This window comes from Homo sapiens, chromosome 20, assembly GCF_000001405.40.
Source record: "Homo sapiens chromosome 20, GRCh38.p14 Primary Assembly".
NCBI lineage: Eukaryota > Metazoa > Chordata > Mammalia > Primates > Hominidae > Homo > Homo sapiens.
The window spans coordinates 53797385-53820453 of NC_000020.11; the positions used below are offsets into that span (position 1 = coordinate 53797385).

Genomic DNA, 23069 nt, shown 5'->3' on the forward strand with positions numbered 1-23069 from the left:
CAAACAAAAAACAATAACAAAAAACGTGGCTGAAAAATTGGAAACATTGGTGGTGCTTTTGTAGCAAGTCCAACTCTTATTAACTCATTTTAGGTCAAATACACACACAAATACAGTGAGATGGGATCTCACTGTATCCCTCAGATTGGAGTGCAGTGGTGCAATCTGGGGTCACTGCAACCTCTGCCTCCTGGGTTCAAGCAATCCTCCCACCTCAGCCTCCCGAGCAGCTGGCACTACAGGTGTGTTCCATCACACCCAGCCAATTTTTGTATTTTTAGTAGAGATGGGGTTTCACCATGTTGGCCAGGCTGGTCTCGAACTCCTGACCTCAGCTTGCCTTGGCCTCCCAAAGTGCTGCGATTACAGGCGTGAGCCCCCATGCCTAGGTTCCTTGATACAGTTTAGATAGTTCTCCCCTCCAAGTCTCATGTTGTAATCTCATCCCCAGTGTTGGAGGTGGGGCCTAGCAGGAGGCATTGGGGCCATGGGGGTGGACCCCCAATGAGTGTGTTGGTGCCATCCTTGCTATAGTGAGTGTGTTCTCACTCTGTTAGTTCCCTTGACAGCTGGTTGCTTAAAAGAGCCTGGCACCTCTTCCTATCTCTCTTGCTTTCTCTTGTGTCATGTGACCTCTGCACCCACCAGCTCCCCTTTCCCTTCCGCCATGAGTGGAAGCAACCTGAGGTCCTCACCAGATGTAAATACTGGTGCCATGCTTCTTGTACAGCCTGCAGAACCCTAGGTCAATAAGCTTCTTTTCTTTTTTTGAGACAGGGTATCACTCTGTCACTGAGGCTGGAGTGAAGTGGCATGATCATGGCTCACTGCACCCTTGGCCTCCTGGGCTCAAGCAATCCTCCTGTCTCGGCCTTCCGAGCAGCTGAAATCACAGGCATGCACCACCACGCCTGGCTAATTTTTAAATTTTTTACAGAGATAGGGTCTCGCTCTGCTACCCAGGCTGGTCTCAAAGCCCTGGGTTCAAGTGGTCCTCCCACCTTGGCCTCCCAACTCTTCCCTTTGTAAATTATCCATCCTGTGGTGTTCCTTTACAGCAACACAAAAAGATTTAGACACTCCTACTCTATTTTCTCTCTGATGGTCCGGGATATACTTGTTTTGTTTTTAACAGCATTTTTGGATATATAATTCACATATCATTTCATTCATCTATTTAAACCGTACAATCCAATGGTTTTTAGTACATTCGCAGAATTGTAAAACCACCACCACCATTGACCTTAGAACATTTTCATCACTTCAAGAAAGCCCAAACCCTTCCGTTATTACCCTCTTCCTTCATGTCCTCCCATCCCTGAACAAGCACTAACCTACTTTCTGTCTCTAATGATTGACCCATTCTGGGCATTTCATATAAATGGAATTATAAAATATATGGTCTCTGTGACTGGCTTCTTTCGCTTACTGTAATGTTCAAGGTTCATCCATATTACAGCATGTGTCAGAACCTCATTTCTTTTTATGGATAAGCAATTGTATGCATATGCTACATTTTGTTTATCCATTCATCCTGTAATGGACATTTGGGTTGTTTCCACCTTCTGTCTATTGTGAATATTGCTGCTATAAACAGTCATGTGCAAGTCTGTGTGTGAACATGTGTTTTCATTTCTCTTGGGTAAAATACCTAGGAGTGGAATTGCTGGGTGATATGGTAACTCTATATTTAACCAAACAGGGAACTGCCAGAATGTTCTCCAAAGTGGCCATACCATTTTACATGACCACAAGTGGTGCAGGAGGAGTCCAATTGCTCTACATCTTCAACAACCAGAGTGCACGCATTTGCCTATCTATCACCTACACCTGGGAATATAAGTGGCCTGAAGGCTGGAGGTGCTCACCTCTGTACACGTCTCCCACCTTGGAACATAGTGGACCATGCATAGCAGATGAATGAGTAACATCCCTCTTCTTCTAGAAACTAGCATAGCACTCGGCAGAAGAAGGGCTTGCAGGCTGGGCACAGTGGCTCATGCCTGTAATCCCAGCACTTTGGGAGGCCAAGGCAGACGGATCATGAGGTCAGGAGATTGCGACCATCCTGGCCAACATAGTGAAACCCCATCTCTACTAAAAATACAAAAATTAGCTGGGCGTGGTAGTGCGTGCCTGTAATCCCAGCTACTCAGGAGGCTGAGGCAGGAGAATTGCTTGAACCTGGGAGGCAGAGCTTGCAGTGAGCCAAGATCGCACCACTGCACTCCAGCCTGGCGACACAGTGAGACTCCGTCTCAAAAAAAGAAAAAAAAACAAAGGAAGGACTTGGAAATCGTTGAAACTTGCAAAGTCTGGTGGTTGTGGAGTCCGTTTGGCATGCATCCAATGTGCATTTAATTTTAGGCTGAATTTAAAATCGTTTGTTCTCCTCCCTCCCCCAACACACACACACACACTCCACACACACAATGAAATCTCGCTCTCTCATTTAATTTTCACAACTGCAAACAAATCTATGAACTCACATCAAGGTCATGGAGCCAAACCCTATGGCAAGCAAGGTGGCTTAGGTGTGCTCCACAGTCTGTCAAGGAACGCTGGGATGTGGCAGTTGTATTAAAGACAGGGTTAAGAATGTCACACCTGCAGGCACAGAGAGATTTTTTTGTGCTCATTTCTTTGGTTGAACTCAGAGGATCTGCAAATCAGGGCAGTTGGTCAAGTGATCTGGAATCAAGTCCAGACTCTATTGTTTACCATTTGTGAGGCTCTGGACAGGTTATTTTTTCTTTCTGGGCCTTACTCTTCTCATGCATCAATGGGAATAACAATGTTTACCCCCAGAGCGTTATTATTAAGTATGATAATATTTTTATTTTTATTTTGAGACAGGTTCTCACTCTGTCGCCCAGGCTGGAGTGTAGTGGCAGTGGTGTGATTATGGCTCATTGAGCCTCAACCTGCTGGACTCAAGTGATTCTCCTCAGCCTCCTGCGTAGGTGGGACTACACGTGTGTACCTCCACACCTGGCTGAAGTTTTTAAATTTTTGGTAGACATGGGGATCTTACTGTGTTGCCCAGGCTGATCTCAATCTCCTGAGCTCAGCGATCCTTCTGCCTCAGCCTCCCAAAGTCCTGGGGTTACAAGTGTGAGCCACCAAGCCTGGGCTATTAATATATAAGTATAAGGATTAAGTGAACTGATATATAATCACCCCTTCAGTAACTCCCCTCCCACTTAAAATAAAATCCAAGAAACCAGGATGTCTGGTCATTCTAACTCTAGATTACTTTGGACTTCAAAGCTCCTATGCAATAATGATGCCTGAAACCTAGAAGAAAAGGACCAGAATTCCAGAGGGTCCAAACTTACTTTCTGAATTCTGCCAAGGAGAAACAATATCCTATACACAGCTTGGCAGCTAAGGGAGAAGGCAGCCATGGTCCTTATCAACAGTGACCATCTATAGGATCATCTAAATTGGGACGCTCGTATGGATACAACAGATACTATTAATAATCACACGGGGACCGCAAGCATTAACCAGGACAGTCCTGGGCAAATTGGGCTGCAGGCTCACCCCAGTGTATCTATTTGCAGAATCTGGAGGGCGGGCCTCCTCAGCAAGCCTCTGGCGCATGTTTGAACTGCTCTTAAGCTGTTAAGCACTAAGCGCTGTCATCAAAGTGTTTTTCTGATAAGAAGCTCGAAGTCCACTGAGAAGAATCCAGTTGAGATAAATGGGCTCTCTACTCTGTGTCCATGTTACGGTTTTCAAGGTTCAATAGTTACCTGCCTAGGGTCTCCTCTGTAAGTCACCAATAACCCAGTTTGATTGTATTAAAAGCGCTGGAGTTTCTTAGGTCAAAAAGAACTGGCATAACTGATGTAGAAATAGCAGTTATTATTTTCCCAGCAGCTCTTCCACTCCAGGCACTGTTCTGAGTCATTTCAGCATCGTGATCTTTCTTGGAGGTGGTCGTTGTTAGACCCATTTTACGAGCGAGGACACTCAGGCTCAGAGTAAATAAGGAACTTGTCCGAGGTCACACAGCCTATAAGGGGCAGGCCTAAGAATCTGAATCTGGGGAGGTCTGACAGCAGGTCCTGGGCTCTTTATCTGTGTGGCCTCTTTCTTGTGTGGCGGTCTTTGATCTGCATCTCCTGGAGCCCTTGGGTTAATTGATCTGTCCATAGGAATCCTTAACCAGGTGTCCACGGACTCCCAAGCAGTCCTGGGATAGAATTTATGATACATTGATTAACAAACAGACAAACAAACAAAAACACATATATACTCTAATCTGCATTTTCTCATTTTTCCCCTTTCTTTCTTTTTTTTTTTTTTGTTTGAGACAGAGTCTCGCTCTGTCGTCCATGCTGGAGTGTAGTGGCGCGATCCTGACTCACTGCAACCTCTGCCTGCCAGGCTCAAGCGATTCTTGTACCTCAGCCTCCTGAGTAGCTGGGACTACAGGCGTGTGCTGCCACGCCCAGCTGATTTTTGTATTTTAAGTAGAGACAGGGTTATGCCATGTTGGCCAGGCTCGTTTCGAACTCCTGACCTCGTGATCTGCCCACCTTGGCCTCCCAAAGTGCTGGGATTACGGTCGTGAGCCACCACGCCCGGCCTATTTTCCACCTTTTGAATATAGGCAAACCACAGCAGAATTAGCAGTCCTTGAGACTTTGTTGCCAGTGGAAACCAGATATTTTCATCTTACACCAGAGTTACAAATAATAGGAAGTATCCTCTATAGTTATTGCTATCTCAAAATTACAGTTGTTAGAATCTGCACTGCATCTTGTCACTTAATGTGTTAATAAAAATGCACACATATTACCATATTATACATTTGTTTTAACATTTTTAGGGGAACTGCATTTTAATGTAATTGGATTTCTTTGCAAGCCTGTGCATTTTTTTGTCCTGAGAACGGGATCACAGGCTTCCTCAGACAACCAACAGGGTCCACGGTACAAAAAGATGGAACTACTGCAAAGAGTTGACGAATGGGCCAGTTAGTAAACAAATCATTCACTCTTTATGTGCAAAATTTTATCTAATTTCTCCATAACATCACCAAAACTTGCACATGTAAGTAGAGAAAGCCTTAATGGAAATTTCTCATTCATTTATTTCTTTTCTTTCTTTTTTTTTTTTTGAGACGGAGTCTCTGTTGCCCAGGATGGGGTGCAGTGGTGCGATCTCAGCTCACGGTAACCTCCACCTCCTGGACTCAAGCGATTCTCCTGCCTCAGCCTCCCGAGTAGCTAGGACCATAGGCACATGCCACCGTGTGTGGCTAATTTTTATATTTTTAGTAGAGACAGGGTTTTGCCACGTTGGCCAGGCTGGTCTCGAACTCCTGACCTCAGGTGAGCCACCCTCCTTGGCCTCCCAAAGTGCTGGGATTACAGGTGTGAGCCACCATGCCCAGCCCATTTATTTCTTAAATGGATGTTAATTGGGCACCTCCTGGGTACCAGGCCCTGTGAATGGCATGGGAGATACAGGAGGGGACAGGACAAACATAGATGAAAGCCCCAGCTTTCGTGGAGCTGACATGATAAGCGGTCAAAGCAACAATCAAACAATAATCGTACATAGAATTAGCTAACCCAAGTGTGACGAGCTGTGGCAGAATGCACTGAGAATTCTTTAACCAAGTACTGCTTGGCCAAGATCTGAAAGATGATCAAGTGCCAACAGGCAGAGAGTTTAGGCAGAGCAGCCCAGGCTCAGCACCAAGGAGCTGAAGCCAGTTCTCTTAGGCCAACCAGAGCCAACTGTTAAATTTTCAGGAATTTTGTGACCTGATTGTTAAACATAGCCATTATTAAAATGGTTATATAAACTTACAATTAAATAAATTATATTGAAAATAAATATCTCTAGCATGGCTCTAGAGATCTTAACAGGTGGATACTGCTGTATTCTTTTTTTTGAGACGGAGCCTCGCTGTCCCCCAGGCTGGAGTGCGGTGGCGCGATCTCGGCTCACTGCAAGCTCCACCTCCCAGGTTCACACCATTCTCCTGCCTCAGCCTCCTGAGTAGCTGGGACTACAGGCACCCGCCACCAAGCCCGGCTAATTTTTTGTTTTTTAGTAGAGACGGGGTTTCACCGTGTTAGCCAGGATGGTCTTGATCTCCTGATCTCGTGATCCACCCGTCTCGACCTCTCAAGAGACTGCTGTATTCTTATACCGTGCAAGGATAATGGAACCCTCCCTCCCTCCCTCCCTCCCTTCATTCCTTCCTTCCTTCCTTTTTTTTTTTTTTTTTCTGAGGCGGGGTCTTACTCTGTTGCCCAGGCTGGAGTGCAGTGGCTCAATCTTAGCTCACTGCAGCCTTGAACTCCTGGAATCAAGCAATTCTCTCATGTCAGTCTCCTGGGTAGTTGGAACTACAGGCGCATGTCACCATGTCCAGTTAATTTTTAAACTTTTGTAGAGATGTGATCTCACTGTATTGCCAGGGCTGGTCTCAAACTCCTGGCCTCAAACAATCCTCCTGCATTGGCTTCCCAAATTACTGGTATTACAGGTGTGAGCCACCACACCCAATCTCCCATACATTCTATCCAATTGTATCTTGAACACCACTCATTTCAGCAGTGAACATTATTTCTAGTATCCTTTCCAGCAAACCCTCTGGTGCAGGGTCCTATAATATCTGAAAGACTTAAGCAACTGTCACTGCCTGGTGGGTTCCTGATTACCATACTTTAAATACTGACTAATTCACTCTGGGTTGCAAATTCAAGTTCATTAATACACATTTCCTCCTGCTTCACATTATTTACTCTGGAGACTTTTTTTTTTTTTTTTTTTTTGAGACAGAGTCTCACCCTGTCACCCAGGCTGAAGTGGAGTGGTGGGATCATGGCTCACGGCAGTCTTGAACTCCAGGGCTCAAGTGATCCTCCACCTGAGCCTCCCAAGAACCGGGACTACAGGTGCATGCCACCTATGCCAGGCTAATTTTTATTTATTTATTTTTTTGAGGCGGAGTCTCGCTTTGTTGCCCAGGCTGGAGTGTAGTGGCATAATCTCGGCTCACTGCAACCTCTGCCTCCTGGGTTCAAGTGATTCTCTTGCCTCAGCCTCCTGAGTAGATGGGATTACAGGTGTGTGCCACCACACCTGGCTAATTTTTGTATTTTTAGTTGAGACGGGGTTTCACCATGTTGGTCAGGCTGGTCTCGAACTCCTGACCTTGTGATCTGCCCACCTCGGACTCCCAAAGTGCTGGGATTACAGTCGTGAGCCACCATGCCTGGCCTTATCAGGCTAATTTTTAAAGTTGTTTTTGGAGAGACAAAGTCTCCCTATGTTTCCCAGGCTGGTCTTGAACTTCTGGGCTCAAGTGATTTGCCTGCCTCAGCCTCCCAAAGTGCTGGAATTATAGGCATGAGCCACTGCTCCTGGTCATGTTATTTACTCTGAAGTACTCTTATAGTAAACAACAACACATATGAGATCATAATGTCTAACATCACCAGTTTATCCCGAATTTTGTTGCATTTCACTATTTCTTCTGTTCAGCATCAAATGTAGAAGGTGGGTTGTGTTTTGGGTTCCTATCATTCAAAATTTCTGTACCGTTAAACCCTACAATTACACATAGTGGAATGAGACGTTGTCACCATGAGAGGTAAAAAGGAGACAGGACCCCACTGAGGAAACCAGGGATTCATGCCTCTGACCTCCAGCTCACCCCAGGATACACACTCAGTGATGAAATAATCCTAACCCTAAATTGCATGAATTACATTGTTCTCCCTCCCTGTCCCTTTCCTCTGATCCATCTCTTTTGCAAAACTCATGCAATCTGAGTGTGTTTCATGGTAAAATTGTAATGTATACAGTTTTCCCATTTGTGTTTTTATTTGCAAACTGACAGCCGCTTAACCCTGGCACTCGTGGAAAATATTGCCTTGGAAAACGACCTCACCTGACTATGGCATCCATGAGGAGCAGTGAATGATACTGATAGGGGTTAAGACTTGCTTGCCCCTCTGCTTTTGCACAAGTGGTGCCTCTGCCTGGAATACCTTGACCTGCCTCCTGAGCTGTGTATCCAAATCTCAGTTCTGGCATCCCTCCCTCTGTGATGCCATCCTGGGGATCTCCAGCAGAGTCATCATGGCCTTCTTTGTCCCTGCCCCTTACATCTGCTGTGATACTTTTCCTGGAGGTCAAAACACAAATACGTAGAATGCTCAATTTCCACAGAAGGCTAAGAAATGAACCAAGTGGGTTGGGGGTGAAGAACCGGGAACCAAGGCACCAGAGTGAACTGGGAAGCCTGTGCTGGGTCCAAGGGTGCAGCTGCTGCTCAGGCCTGGCCTGGTTTCTATGAGGAATGTGGGCTCAGGGTAGCCAGAGCTCCTGATTTTTCAAGAGAACTGGAAATCTGAACTTTCTTTTTTTGACATATGTCTATCTTTAAAGGCAGTTGTTCCAGATTTTAAAATGACTCCATTCAGAGTTGATAAATCACACACATTCACAGAATAAATCCACTCCACGGGCCACCAGTGACAGCCCATGCTCTAGGCAAAACTCTCCGGAGTCTGAGGCTCTGTCCTTTCTTTCTCAAATTCCCAGTGCCTGGGGCACGGAACCTGGCATGAAGAGGCACTTAGGAAATGTTTGTTGAGTGAATAGATGAGGCAATGAATCATCAGGATATTAAAATTCTTTCCACTCTGCATGAGCCATACATATAGTGTAATTTGTATATTTATATATGCTTTCCTTCGGGCCCATGAACAAAGCCAGGTACTTGCCAAAGTGCAAAAAAAGTTTGATATTTGTATAACAATAATAAACCCAGGGCTGGGCGCAGTGGCTCACACTTGTAATCCCAGCACTTTGGGAGGCTGAGGCAGGCAGATTGCCTGAGCTCAGGAGTTCGAGACAAGTCTGGGCAACATAGTGAAATCCTGTATCTACAAAAATTAAAAAAAAATTAGCCAGGTGTGCATGCCTGTAGTCCCAGCTACTTGGAAGGCTGAAGTGGGAGGATGGCTTGAGCCCAGAAGGTGAAGGTTGCAGTGAGCCGAGATTGCACCACTGCACTCCAGCCTGGGTGAAAGAGTAAAACCCTGTCTCGAAAATAAATAAATAAATAAATAACATTAAATTAAATTAAATTAAAATAGGACAGGCATGGTGGCTCACACCTGTAATCCCAGCACTTTAGGAGGCCGAGGTAGGCAGATAGCTTGAGCCCAGGAGTTCGAGACCAGCCCAGGTAACATGGTGAAACTTTGTCTCTACAAAAAAATAAAAAAATAAGATAAATAAAAAAAAATCAGCTGGACATGGTGGTGCATGCCTGCAATCCCAGCTACTCAAGAGGCTGTGGCAGGAGGGTCACTTGAGCTCAGAAGGTTGAGGCTTCTGTAAGCTGTGACTATGTCACTGCATTCCAGGCTGCGTGACAGAGTGAGACCCTGTCTCAGAAAAAAACAAACAAAAAGCCAGTAAAAATAAAAATAAAAAGAATAAACCCAGCAGCAAGGCATCTGTCATCCTCTCATACTGGTCATTATAATTTTTGGTTAATTCATAAAACTGCTCCACAAGGTAGGTCATATTATCAGCTCCATTTTACAGAAGAGGAAAAATCGGTAAAGCTCAGATCAATTCACCTGCCCAAGACCACAGAGTTGGCAAGTTTCCTGTTATCCTCAGGTTAAAAGCCAAAGTCTGTAAAATGGCGCTACAGGATCCCCCTTCACTCCCCATAGCCCATCTGACCTCATCTCTCCCTCTCCTTCATTCAACACCTGTCTCCCTGACTTCCTCAGACATCCCACATGTGCCCTGGCCTCTGGGCTTTGTCACTGACCCTCTGCGGGGGATGCTGTCGCCTAAGACCTTTGCATGGCTTCCTCTTACCTCCTTCCAGTCTTTGTTCAAATGTCACCTTTTCACTGAGTACTATACCTGACTCCCCTGCCCACTTAGGATCACAGCTCCCATCGCCTTCTGTTTCCCTCCCTTGTTTCCTTTATTTTTCTCCATAGTTTTTTTTTTAATCACCTTCTAACATACTATGTAATGTAATTATTCATTTTCTGCCTTCAACACTGTCAGGTTAAACTCCATGAGGGCAATATATATATATATATATATATATATATATATATATATATATATATATATATATATATATTTTTTTTTTTTTTTCTATTTTCTTCCCTGCTATATCTCTAGTTCTAGAATTGTGCCTGGCACAATACGAATTCTTAATTAGAAGGATAGTAATATGTATGCAGTCTTTTTTTTTTTTTTTTTTTTGAGACAGAGTCTCGCTCTGTCGCCCAGGCCGGAGTGCAGTGGCGCGATCTCAACTCACTGCAAGCTCCGCCTTCCGGGTTCGCGCCATTCTCCTGCCTCAGCCTCCTGAGTAGCTGGGACTACAGGCTCCCACCACCGCGCCCGGCTAATTTTTTTTTTGCATTTTTAGTAGAGACGGGGTTTCACCGTGTTAACCAGGATGGTCTCGATCTCCTGACCTCGTGATCCGCCCACCTCGGCCTCCCAAAGTGCTGGGATTACAGGCGTGAGCCACCGCGCCCGGCCTGTATGCAGTCTTAGAGTGGCCTGTCTGGGCTGAAATCCTGGCTGTGCCACTGGCTTTGTGACCTGGGAGAGTTTATTAACCTCAGTAAGCCTCAGTCTACTCGTCTGTCAAATGAGGCTACTATACTGCATTTCAACCAATCTAAGAAGCCACTGAAATACATTATTTTAGTGAACCACTAAGAAAAAAGTCACGAATTATAAAAGCCCATCAGATCTAAGACTCCTATAGGCTTTAGAAATATTTTAAGTAGGGGTGCCAGATAAAATACAGGATGACCAGTTAAATTTGAATTTCAGATTTTAAAAAATGAGTAATATTTTAGGATAAGTATATTCTATTTAAAATGTACTACTGGGAGGTGTATCTATACTAAAAAGTTATTCATCATTCATCTTAATTTCAAATGCAATCAGAGTCCTGTATTTTATTTGCTAACTCTGGCAAACCTAGTTAAAAGACAAAAAAAATGTATGTTCTAGACCCAGTGAAATGGTAGTGTATGTCGCATTAAGAGATGTAGGTTGAATGAATGAATGTAAGAAAAGTCTGGGCCGGGCGCGGTGGCTCATGTCTGTAATCCCAGCACTTTGGGAGGCCGAGGTGGGCGGATCACCTGAGGTCGGGAGTTCCAGGCCAGCCTGGCCAACATGGCGAAAAACCATCTCTACTAAAAATAGAAAAATTAGCTGGGTGTAGTGGCGCGTGCCTGTAATCCCAGCTACTTGGGAGGCTGAAGTAGAAGAATTGCTTGAACCCGGGAGGCAGAGGGTGCGGTGAGCCGAGATTGCACCACTGTACTCCAGCCTGGGAGACAGAGCGAGACTCCATCTCAAAAATAAATAAATAAATAAATAAATAGCCTGGCACATAGTAGGTGCTCAGTAAATGTTAGATGTTATTATAAAATAGCTAGGACCAGGCACATAGTAGGTTCAGTGCCTGGCACAGAGTGGGTACTCAGTAAATGTTAGATTACTATAAAATAGCCAGGACCAGGTCCATAATTCAACAGGCTAATATCTACTGGCCTGTAGCTCCTTGAAAGTGCTCCCTTTGATCCCCAAGGCTTGCCGAAGAGCTTCTTACACTGAAAGAACCCAGTAATACTTATTCAATGACTAGAGGCTCCTTTTTTGCTCAATGAATGGAGAAACCCCCTTTTATAAAAATTCAGTGACGGCAGAGCCCCCACTTTGTTTTTTACCCCTTTTCTACACTGATTCATTCATGGTTGCAGTCCTTTGAATGCACAGTGGGGCCACTTTGCTGGGAATAGTCTCTGAAGTCTGGAGAGAGAATCCTTTTAGATAAAGCCCCCACAATTAGCTCCTCTCCTCATCTGCCTCCTCCACCTCCTCCAGAGGCTGCTGCCTTCTAGGTTCTACCTTTGAGAGCTCAGGTGCCTGCTGCCAATTACATTTCCACCCTACTTGTGAAACTACTGTGTAATTAGCCTAATTACAGGATTGCAGGCAATGGCAGCAGGCTGCCTGGGAAGGGGTATTAACCCTGCATTTCCCATGCACGTTGCAAGCACTCAGTGTCTCAGGACTGGGGAGGTAGGCTGCAGGCCATCCACCCAGGTTCTGGGTGGCCACTCTTGCCAAGTTGTTCCTTCTTAATGGCCAGAATATTCGACAGTCTTTTCAGAGTCTGTCCACTACAAAGCAACAACAGCAACGTAGTAATACTAGCAGCACATACTCAGGGCCAAACATTTTCAACAGGACAGAAGTAAAAAGTGAGACATAAAAGTTGTCTGAACCTGCACACGTACTCCCTGATTCTAAAGTAAAAGTTGAAAAAAGAAAAAAAAACTGTCTGAACATTCATCACCTGCATTCCAGCTCCACACCCCAGAAGTAACAATATCTAAAATAACAATACCTATCAAATGTAGACAGAAATGTTCTACACACAAGCAAGCTATATGTATAGATGTAGTCTTTGTTCTGCTAATGTTTAGTCTCTCTAAATAATAAAAAATAAGTCAAAAACTAAGTACAATGTGTTTTATATAGATATAGTCACCCATAAATGTCTGTTCAATTTACTTCGCACAATGAGATTATACAATACATATGCTTTTGTGACTTGCCCTTTGTTGCTAAATAATATATCCTATCTGTCTTTAATGCCTACATATTAGTGCTAACTCATTCTTTTTTATAAGGCTGTGTAATATTCAACAGGAAGAACGTGTCATAATTTATTTAACTAGTCTTCCATTATGAAGCATTTAGATTGCAAACAGATTTATGCCATAAAAAGAATACATAATCCCAGCACTTTGGGAGGCTGAGGTTAGTGGATTGCTTGAGCCCAGGAGTTTGAAACCAGCCTGGGCAACATGGTGAAACCCTGTCTCTACAAAAATACACATACAAAAAAAAAATTAGTTGGGCATGGTGGGGTGCGCCTATAGTCTTAGCTACTAGGGAGGCTGAGGTGGAAGGAGCTTAGAAGATCAAGGTTGCAGTAAGCTCAGATCGTGCCACTGCACTTCAGTCTGGGAAACAGAGTGAGACCCTGTCTCAAAAAAAAAAAAAAAAAAAAAGTGCATGAAGCCACACAAATAAGTTCCTGGTGCTTGTGAAGGAGATGAGGGTGGGAGGCAGCTTCCAAATAGTTAGGTGTGGTCCAAGAAGCAGGGGTAGAGAGATCCACTATAAAGCTGCGTGTTAACCCTTTAGTTAGTTGCTGGATCCTAGGAAGCCCTAGATGATTCCAGGGAGAGGCATTGAAGGGCAGCTCTTGACCAACCAGTATGGAAACCGTCCTATATTTTAACTACCAGTGTGGTCTTCCTGGTCACAGCTCTTGATGTTGGCTATATTTGCTATATTTGAGTATATTCACAGGTTTCCAACCCTAGAATTCTTGGGTCAAATGGTATAAACTCTTTTAGTCTTAATGAGTCTGTTATCAAACTTTCTCTTGGAGTCTTTTTTTTCATAAAAATAAAACAGTAATAGTAATAGATGGCATTTATGAGAGCAAAGCAACATACTAAAGGCTTTTTATACTTGATGTCCTGCAATTTTCCCAAGAGGGCTATGCCACAGGCACTTTTATCCCCCTCATTTTACAGATGGGGAATCTGAGACTCAGAGGCTAATGACCTGCCAAGTTTCACACAGCAAATCAGAGGAGGTGCTGCGATTCCAATTCATTTCCATAAGGCCCTGAAACCACCATCCTACTGGCTTTCTAAATCTTATTGAGCTGGGACGGTGGCTCATGCCTATAATCCCAGCACTTTGGGAGGCTGAGGAGCCTGGATCACCTGAGGGCAGGAGTTTGAGACCAGCCTGGCCAACATGGCGAAACTCCGTCTCTATTAAAAACACAAAAAATTAGCTGGGCGTGGTGGCAGGTGCCTGTAATCCCAGGTTAACAGGAGGCTGAGGCAGGAAAATTGCTTGAACCCGGGAGGCAGAGGTTGCAGTGAGCCAAGATCACACCATTGTACTCCAGCCTGGGTGACAGAGAGAGACTCTGTCTCAAAAAAAAAAAAAAAAATCTTATTGGAACGTGAAGATCAGGAAGGAGGCCCACAGTCTTTCCACTGCAGGGTCCATGAGCACACCTGCTTACATGTGCAAAGACACACTTAGATGGAGATGGAGAGAAGAAGCTAGGATGAAAACTAAAGATGGCAAAAAGAGAAATTAATATCAGGTCACTGTCAACAGAAATTTGTGTCACAGTGAATGGCACTTCTAACAATTGGCTACACAACCTAGGCCTTTTCAGGCCTCAGATTTCTCATCAGTAAAATGGGAATGATTATCCAATCCAGTAGAACTGTTGAGCAGAATTGAGTTAATCCATATGAAATGCCTGAGGCCTGGTAGGACAATTCACAGTTACTGTTAAGGTATCTGCAATGAGAAGAACATCTTAAACTCTTGACAGCATAGTTCTATAATATATAACCAAGGAGGAGGATTGCCCTTTAAAGGTCTGTCATTCCCCTCAACAATCCAGCAACAGTCCTGCTCCAACCACATTAAAACTAGTCCAAAAAATTTCCCCAATCCTGTGAATAATTATTTACCATTAGAAAAATCAGAGATCCTGACTGGGCGCGATGGCTCATGCCTGTAATCCCAGCACTTTGGGAGGCCGAGGCGGGTGGATCATGAAGTCAGGAATTCAAGACCAGCCTGGCCAAGATGGTGAAACCCCGTCTCTACTAAAAATACAAAAAATTAGCAGGGTGTGGTGGCACGCACCTGTAATCCCAGCTACTCGGGAGGCTAAGGCAGAAAATTGCTTGAACCCAGGAGGCGGAGGTTGCAGAGAGCTGAGATCATGCCACTGCACTCCAGCCTGGGAGGCAGAGTAAGATCTGTCTCAAAAAAAAAAAAAAAAATCAGAGGTTGAGAGCAGTGGCTCACAACTGTAAACCCAGCACTTTGGGAGGCTGAGGTGGGCAGATCACTTGAGGCCAGAAGTTCGAGACTAGCCTGGCCAACACGGGGAAATCTCCATCGCTACCAAAAAATACAAAATATTAGCCAGGCATGGTGGCGCACACCTGTAGTCCCAGCTATTTGGGATGCTGAGGCAGGAGAATAGCTTGATCCCAGGAAGCAGAGGTTGCAGTGAGCCGAGATCATGCCACTGCACTCCAGCCTGGGTGACAGAGTGAGACTCTGTCTCAAAAAAAAAAAGAAAAAGAAAAAGAAAAACAAATCAGAAACATATGGTTAAATTAAAAAAGACAAAGATGAAAATTAACTGTAATGCAATCTACGGTACTGTTAACATTTTGACATTTATGTTGATATACATTTGTATTTATATACTTTTAAAAGTCCCAAATGTTCTGTCTTATTGCACATTCTGCTGGGGGGCTGTTTTTTCTCTCCTTCCAGGCCATTCTCCACTGTCTGACCATCTCATGCCTTGGAATCCGGCTTTTGGGTTTTGGGCAGCTCCCACAGCCCTCACTCTCTTTAACTGAAACACAAGGTCCACACGTTTTGAAAGGTTTTCTTTTTTTTTTTTTTTGAGATGGAGTCTCGCTCTGTTGCCCAGGCTGGAGTGCAGTGGCGAGATCTCTGCTCACTGCAAGCTCCGCCCCCTGGGTTCATGCCATTCTCCTGCCTCAGCCTCCCGAGTACCTGGGACTACAGGCACGCACTACCACGCCTGGCTAATGTTTTTGTATTTTTAGTAGAGACGGGGTTTCACAGTGTTCGCCAGGATGGTCTCGATCTCCTGACCTCGTGATCCACCCGCCTCAGCCTCCCAAAGTGCTGGGATTACGGGCGTGAGCCACCGCGCCAGGCCTAAAGGTTTTCCTTTCTGGCCTTCTTCTCTCACCATTTTCTCTCTGCTTGTCAGGTCTTTGAACAGCCTAACCTGCTTTCCTTGCTGAATCCTGGTAGGTACCGTGGGAATCTAGCTTCTTTACTCTGGGGGTCCTGGGGCCCCCCTTTCTGGGCAGCTGTCTCTGTACCCCCATCCCCTGTCATCACCTGATCACACTTCATTGTACTGATTGGATAACACCTGCTATGGATTGAATGTGTCCCCCAAAGTTCGTATGTTGGAAACTTAATCCCCGGTGCAACAGCATTGAGAGGCAGGGCCTAAACAAGAAGATTAGGTCAAATGAGGGCTCTGCCCTCATGAACGGATTAATGGTGTAATTGTGGGAGTGGGTTAGTTATCAAATGAGTTTGGCCGCTCTTGCTGGCTCATACTTTTTTGCCTTTTTGGCTTCCACTATGAGATGACACAGCAAGAGGGCTCTTGCCAGAGCCTTAAATCTTGGCTCCAGAGCCAAGAGCCAAACAAATTTCTTTTCTTTATCAATTACCTCCTCTGTTGTATTTGTTATAGCAACACAAAACGAACTAAGACATAATCTGTCAGTCTCCACCACTGGTCTGTGAACTACATGAAGGCAGCTGGCCATGTTATGATGAGCCAAAATATATCCTCAATGTCTAGCATAAGTGCGTGGCATGATGTGCTCAATACGCACTCACTGAATTAATGAGCAAATCTGTGTGATTTTTACTTACTATAGAACCTGAGCATGGGACGTATGTGTCTTTACATTCCATGAGACAGGTTAGGGTGGGAGAGTAAAGGATTGACCTGGGAACATGCTTCTTCACTGGGATACCTTAGAACCTAGATCATGGGCTTTGCTGTCTCTCAAGAATCATGCAAATGACAAACATCACTGTGACTCCCAGTATTGTGGGTGCTGGCTGGAGTTCATTCCAGCAAAGAGCTAGAGAAACAGGAATAATATTACTCATTACTATTGTGCTTAGACTTTCTATACGATACCCAGATTCTACAAGTATTGCACCCAGTTGCTGGTGCACAGAAACCAGAGTTTCAACCACATTGCTTTGCACAGACATTTCTTCTGCAGTTCTCATTACCACTTTTACTTAAAAGGCATGCAGGCTGGGTGTGGTGGCTCATGCCTGTAATCCTAGCATTTTGGGAGGCTGAGGCAGGTGGATCACGAGGTCAGGAGATCGAGACCATCCTGGCTAACACGGTGAAACCCCGTCTCTTCCAAAAAAAAAAAATACAAAAAAATTACCCGGGCTTGGTGGCGGGCGCCTGTAGTCCCAAGTACTCGGGAGGCTGAGGCAGGAGAATGGCGTGAACACGGGAGGCGGAGCTTGCAGTGAACCGAGATCGAGCCACTGCACTCCAGCCTGGGCAACAGAGCAAGACTCTGTCTAAAAACAAAACAAAACAAAAAAAGACTTGCAAACAGATGTCTTGTTTAGTTTTGCAAATATTTGATGTGCAGTGGGATACTGAAATTAACATCAATAGAGTCAATAGGCAGAGAACATTAAGAAAGTGTTTGTAGATGTGCAGGAAGGTTTACGCATGCATGCATGCGATTTCATGGGTGAGAAAAAGCAGAGCCATCTGAAGTGGTTGAGAATGTGTTTTCCTCCACAAAAGAGGTGTGATCTGAGAGAACAAAATAGAAACCCCTATATTGACTAAGATGAACGCAAAGATTAAGGAAACAAAGTTACCTATGAGTGGAGGGCTCAGGGCCTGGCTGGCATGGCACGTTTCTAAAATCCTATGGCTGCAAGAAAAACCACAACTGCTAAAGTTCCTAACAATAGGCATTACCAGATCTCTCCTAACTTTGATTTATAACCCAGATGACTACAGCTCTGATTGAACAAAGACCTCAACAAAATTCTTTTCTGATAAGTTGCTGCAGATTTTTAACCAGTTTCAGTCAGCTTGTAGAGGCTGTGCACAAACTGTCATGTCCTTTAGTTTACCTTTTGATGTAAAGAACCAAATTCCACCCGATTTTAGTGCTAAAACATAGGATGTGTGTTACATACATTTGATGGCTGATTGCTGTAGCTAGGACTTCCAGTACTATGTTGAGTAACAGTGGTGAAAGTGGACATCCTGGTCATGATCCAGATCTTAGAGGAAAGGCTTTCCATTTTTCCCCACTCCGTATAATACTAACTGTGGGTCTGTCATATATGGCTTTTATTATGTTGACTTATGTTCCTTCTATCCCCCTTTTTTTTGAGGCTTTTTTTTTTTTAATCATGAAGGGTTGTTGAATTTTGTCAAATACTTTTTCAGCATCAATTAAAATGATCATATAATTTTTGTCCTTCATTCTGTTGATGTGATTTGTCACATTGATTTGTGTATGTTGAGCCATCTTGCATTCCAGGGATAAATTCCACTTGGTCATGATGAATTATCTTTTTAATATTTTGTTGAATTTGGTTCACTAGTATTTTGTTGAGAATTTTGGCATCAATATTCATCAGAGATAGTGACCTGTAGTTTCCTTTTTTCTGGTATGTCTTTGGTTTTGGTTTCAGGGTAATACTGGCCTCATAGAATGAGATTGGAAGGATTCCTTCCTTTTTTATTTTTTGGAATAGCTTGAGTAGGATTGGCATTAGTTCTTTAACTGTTTTGTCAAATTCAGCAGTAAAGCCATTGGGTCCTGGGCTTTTCTTTACTGGGAGTAAATTTTTTATTATTTTTTATTATGACTTTGATCTCATTGCTTGTTATTGGTCTGTTCAGGTTTTGGTTTTGCTCGTAGTTCAATCTTGGTAGGTTGTATGTGTCTAGGAATTTGTCCATTTCTTCTACATTTTTCAACTTATTGGCACATAGTTGCTCACAGTAGCCACTAATGATCCTTTGAATTTCGGCAGCATCAGTTGTAATGTTGCTTTTTGCGTCTAATTTTGCTTATTTGGATCTTCTCTTTTTCTTAATCTGGCTAGAGGTTTGTCAATTTTGTTAGCTTTTCAAAGAGTCAATTTTTTTATGTCATTCATCTTTTGTATTGTTTTCAACACTTCAATTTTATTTATTTCTGCTCTGATCTTTATTATTTCTTTTTTTCTACTAATTTTGGGTTTGATTGCTCTTGCTTTTCTAGTTCTTTAAGATGCATCATTAGGTTTTTTGTTTGTTGTTTGTTTTTGAGATGGAGTCTCGCTCTGTCGCCTAGGCTGAAGTGCAGTGGTACGATCTTGGCTCACTGCAACCTTCACCTCCCAGGTTCAAGCAATTCTCCTGACTTAGCCTCTTGAGTAGCTGAGATTACAGGCTCCTGCCACAACGCCCGGCTAATTTTTGTATTTTTAGTAGAGACAGAATTTCACCATGTTGGCCAGGCTGCTCTCTAACTCCTGACCTCAAGTGATCTGCCCGCCTAGGCCTCCCAAAGTGCTAGGATTACAGGTATAAGCCACCATGCCCAGCCTCATTAGGTTATTTGAAGTTTTTCTTCTTTTTCTGATGTAGGCACTTATAAAAGTCCCTCTTAGTACTGCTTTTGCTGTATCCCATAGGTTTTGGTATGTTGTGTTTTCATTATCATTTGGTTCAAGAAATATTTCAATTTCCTTCTTCATTTCTTCATTGACCCATTGGTCATTCAGGAGCTTATTGTTTAATTTCCATGTATTTGTATAGTTTCCCAAACTCCTCTTGTTATTGGTTTCTAGTTTTATACCATTGTGGTCAGAGAAGACGACTGATATTATTTCAATGTTTTTTGGATGTTTTAAGACTTGTTTTGTGATCTAACATATGGTTTATCCTTGAGGATAATCTATGCGCTGAGGAAAAGAATGTGTATTCTGCAGCTGTTGAATAAACTGTTCTGTAAATATCTATTAGGTCCATTTGGACTACAGTGCAGATAAAGTCTGTAAGATCTGTACAATGCTGAGAATAGAGTGCCGAAGTCTCCAGCTATTATCGTATTGGGGCTTAGCTCTCTCTTTAGCTCTAATAATATTTGTTTTATGTATTTGGGTGTTCCAGTGTTAAGTACATATATATTTACAATTGTTATATCTTCTTGCTGGGATTGATCCCTTTATCATTATACAGTGACTTTCTTTGTCTCTTCTTATACTTTTTCACTTGAAATCTATTTTGTCTGATATAAGTATAGCTACTCCTATACTTTTTTTGGTTTCAATTGGCATGCAATATCTTTCTCCACCTCTTTATTTTTATTCTGGGTGTGTCTTTTTATTTATTTATTTGTTTTTAATTTTTTTGAGATGAAGTCTCGCTCTGTTGCCCAGGCTGGAGTGCAGTGGTGTGATCTCGGCTCACTGCAACCTCAGCCTCCTGGGTTCAACCGATTCTCCTTCCTCAGCCTCCTGAGTAGCTAGGATTACAGGCGCCGCCACCATGCCTGGCAAAGTTTTTGTATTTTTAGTAGAGACAAGGTTTCACCAATTTGGCCAGGCTGGTCTCGAACTCCTGACCTCAGGAGATCTGCCTGCCTCTGCCTCCCAAAGTGCTGGGATTATAGGCCTGAGCCACCACGCCCAGCTCTATGTGTGTCTTTGGAGGTTAAGTGTGTCTCTTATAGGTAACAGATCATTAGGTAGCAGATCATTAGGTCTTTTTTTTTTTTTTTTTTTTTTTAGTTGATAGGTAAGAACTTACTCCTGGCATTTTGTTCTTTGTTTTCTGGTTGTTCTGTGGTTTTTCTTTTTCTTTCATGCTTGTCTTTTTTTTTTTTTAATGAAGGTGATTTTCTTTGGTGATATGATTTAGTGTCTTGCTTTTTATTTTTTGTGTATTCATTGTATGTTTTTTGGTTTGAACTTATCATGAGGCTTGCTAATACTATCTTATAACCCATTATTTTAAGCTGAAAACAATTTATCACTGTTTGCATAAACAAACAAAAAGAGAACTAATAAAGACTCCACACCTTAACTTTTTCCACTTTTCTTTTTAACTTTTTGTTGTTTCCATTTATCTTATTGTAGAGTCTGTGTCTTGAAAAGTTGTTGTACTTATTATTTTTGATTGGTTCATTGTTTAGCCTTCCTACTTGGCATAAGAGTAGTTTACATACCACAATTACAGTGTTATAATATTCTGTGTTTTTTGTGTACTTACCAGTGAGTTTTGTACCTTCAGATGCTTTCTCATTGCGCATTAACACCCTTTTCTTTCTGATGGAAGTACTCCCATTAGCATTTCTTGTAGGGAAGGTCTGGTGTTGAGGAAATCCTTCAGCTTTTATTTGTCTGGGAAAGTCTTTATTTCTCCTTCATGTTTGAAGGATATTTTTCCTGGATATACTATTCTAGAGTAAAAGGTTTTTCCTTCAGCACTTTAATATATCATGCCACTGTCTCCTGGCCTGTAAGGTTTCCACTAAAAAGTCTGCTGCCAAAGGTATTGGAACTCAATTGTATATTTGCTTCTTTTCTTGTGCTGCTTTTTAACATTTCTTACTTATCCTTGACATTTGGGAGTTTAATGATTAAATGCCTTGAGGTAGTTTTCTTTGGGTTAAGTTGGCTTGGTGGTCTATAACCTTCTTGTGGCAGGATATTGATATCTTTCTCTAGGTTTGATAAGCTCTCTGTTATTATCCCTTTGAATAAACTTTTTACCCCTATCTCTTTCTCTACCTCCTCTTTAAGGCCAATAACTCAGACTTGTCCTTTTGAGGCTATTTTCTAGATCTTGTAGTCATGCTTTGTTGTTTTTTATTCTTTTTTTTTTGGCTCCTCTGATGTGTATTTTCAAATAGCCTGCCTTCAAGATCACTAATTCTTTCTTCTCTTAATCAATTCTGCTGTTAAAAGACTCTGATGCATTCTTCAGTATGTCAGTTGCATTCTTCAGATCCAGAATTCCTGCATGATCCTTTCTAATTATTTCAATTATCTTTGTTAAATTTACCTAATAGAATTTTGAATTCTTTCTCTTTTTTGTTTTTGTTTTTGAGACAGTGTCTCACTCTGTTGTCCAGGCTAAAGTGCAGTGGTGCAATTATGGCTCACTGTAGCCTTGACCTCCCAGGCTCAAGCGATCCTTCCACCTCAGCCTCCTAAGCAGCTGGGACTAGAGTTGTAAACCACCACGCCTGCCTAATTTTTAAATGTTTTATAGAGACAGAGTTTCCCTATTTTGCCCAGGCTGGTCTCAAAGCCCTGGGCTCAAGCGATCCTCCTGCCTTGGCCTCCCAAAGTGCTGGGATTACAGGCATGAGCCACTATGCCTGGCATCCTTCCCTTTCTTATCTTGAATTTCTTTGAGTTTCCTCAAAACAGCTATTTTGAATTCTCTGTCTGAAAGGTCACATATCTCTGTTTCTTCAGGATTGGTCCTGGGTGCGTTATTTAGTTCATTTGGTGAGGCCATGTTTGTCTGGATGGTATTGATGCTTATAGATGTTCTTAGGTGTCTGGGCATTGAAGAGTTAGATATTTATTGTAGTCTTTACAGACTGGGCTTGTTTGTGCTTGTCCTTGGGAAGGCTTTCTAGATATTCAAAAGGACTTGGGTCTTGTGATATAGGTTGTGTCTGCTTTAGGGGGCCCAAAGCTCAGTAATTCTGTGGTTCTTGCAGATTTGTAGAGGTATCGCCTTGATGGTCTTAGACAAGATTCAGTAGAATTCTCTGGATTACCAGGCAGAGATTCTAATTCTCTTCTCTTACCTTTTCCCAAACAAATGGAAACTTTCTGTCTGTTTTGAGCCACCTGGAGCTGTGCATAGGCTGATACAAGCATCCCTGTGGCCACCACCGCTAGGACTGCACTGGGCCAGGCCTGAAGCCAGCATAGCACTGGGTCTTGCCCAAGACCTGCTGTAAAAAGTCCCTGGCTAAGGCTTATGTTCACTCAAGGCCCTGGGGCTCGATAATCAGCAGATGGCAAAGCCAGCCAGGCTTTTATCCTTCCCTTCAGTGTGGCAAGTAGCCCCAGGCCCCGGGCATGTCCACAGGTGCTGTTCGGGAGCCAGGGACTAGAGTTGAAAACCTTAGAAGTCTACCTGTTGTTCTATCGTACTGCAGCTGAGCTGGCACTTCACCACAAGATGCAGTCCTTCCCACTTTTCCCTCTCCTTTCCAAAGGCAGAGGAGCCTTACCACATGGCCGCCAACTCCACGGACCCACAGGGAGTACTGCCAGATTGGCATTGTGTTCCCTTAGGGCCCAAGGGCTCT

The 23069-nt window shown here is 43.3% G+C and overlaps 2 annotated features.

The window, feature by feature from the left end:
- Positions 1732–1932: a silencer, noted in NCBI's record as "peak4274 fragment used in MPRA reporter construct". NCBI's record gives its function as "represses an SCP1 promoter by STARR-seq MPRAs in K562 erythroleukemia cells {active_cell/tissue: K562}" and the evidence as "EXISTENCE:reporter gene assay evidence [ECO:0000049][PMID:32103011]".
- Positions 3912–4413: an enhancer, noted in NCBI's record as "H3K4me1 hESC enhancer chr20:52417835-52418336 (GRCh37/hg19 assembly coordinates)". NCBI's record gives its function as "activates a minimal SCP1, AML or CMV promoter by ChIP-STARR-seq in naive H9 embryonic stem cells {active_cell/tissue: H9 hESC(naive)}" and the evidence as "EXISTENCE:reporter gene assay evidence [ECO:0000049][PMID:30033119]".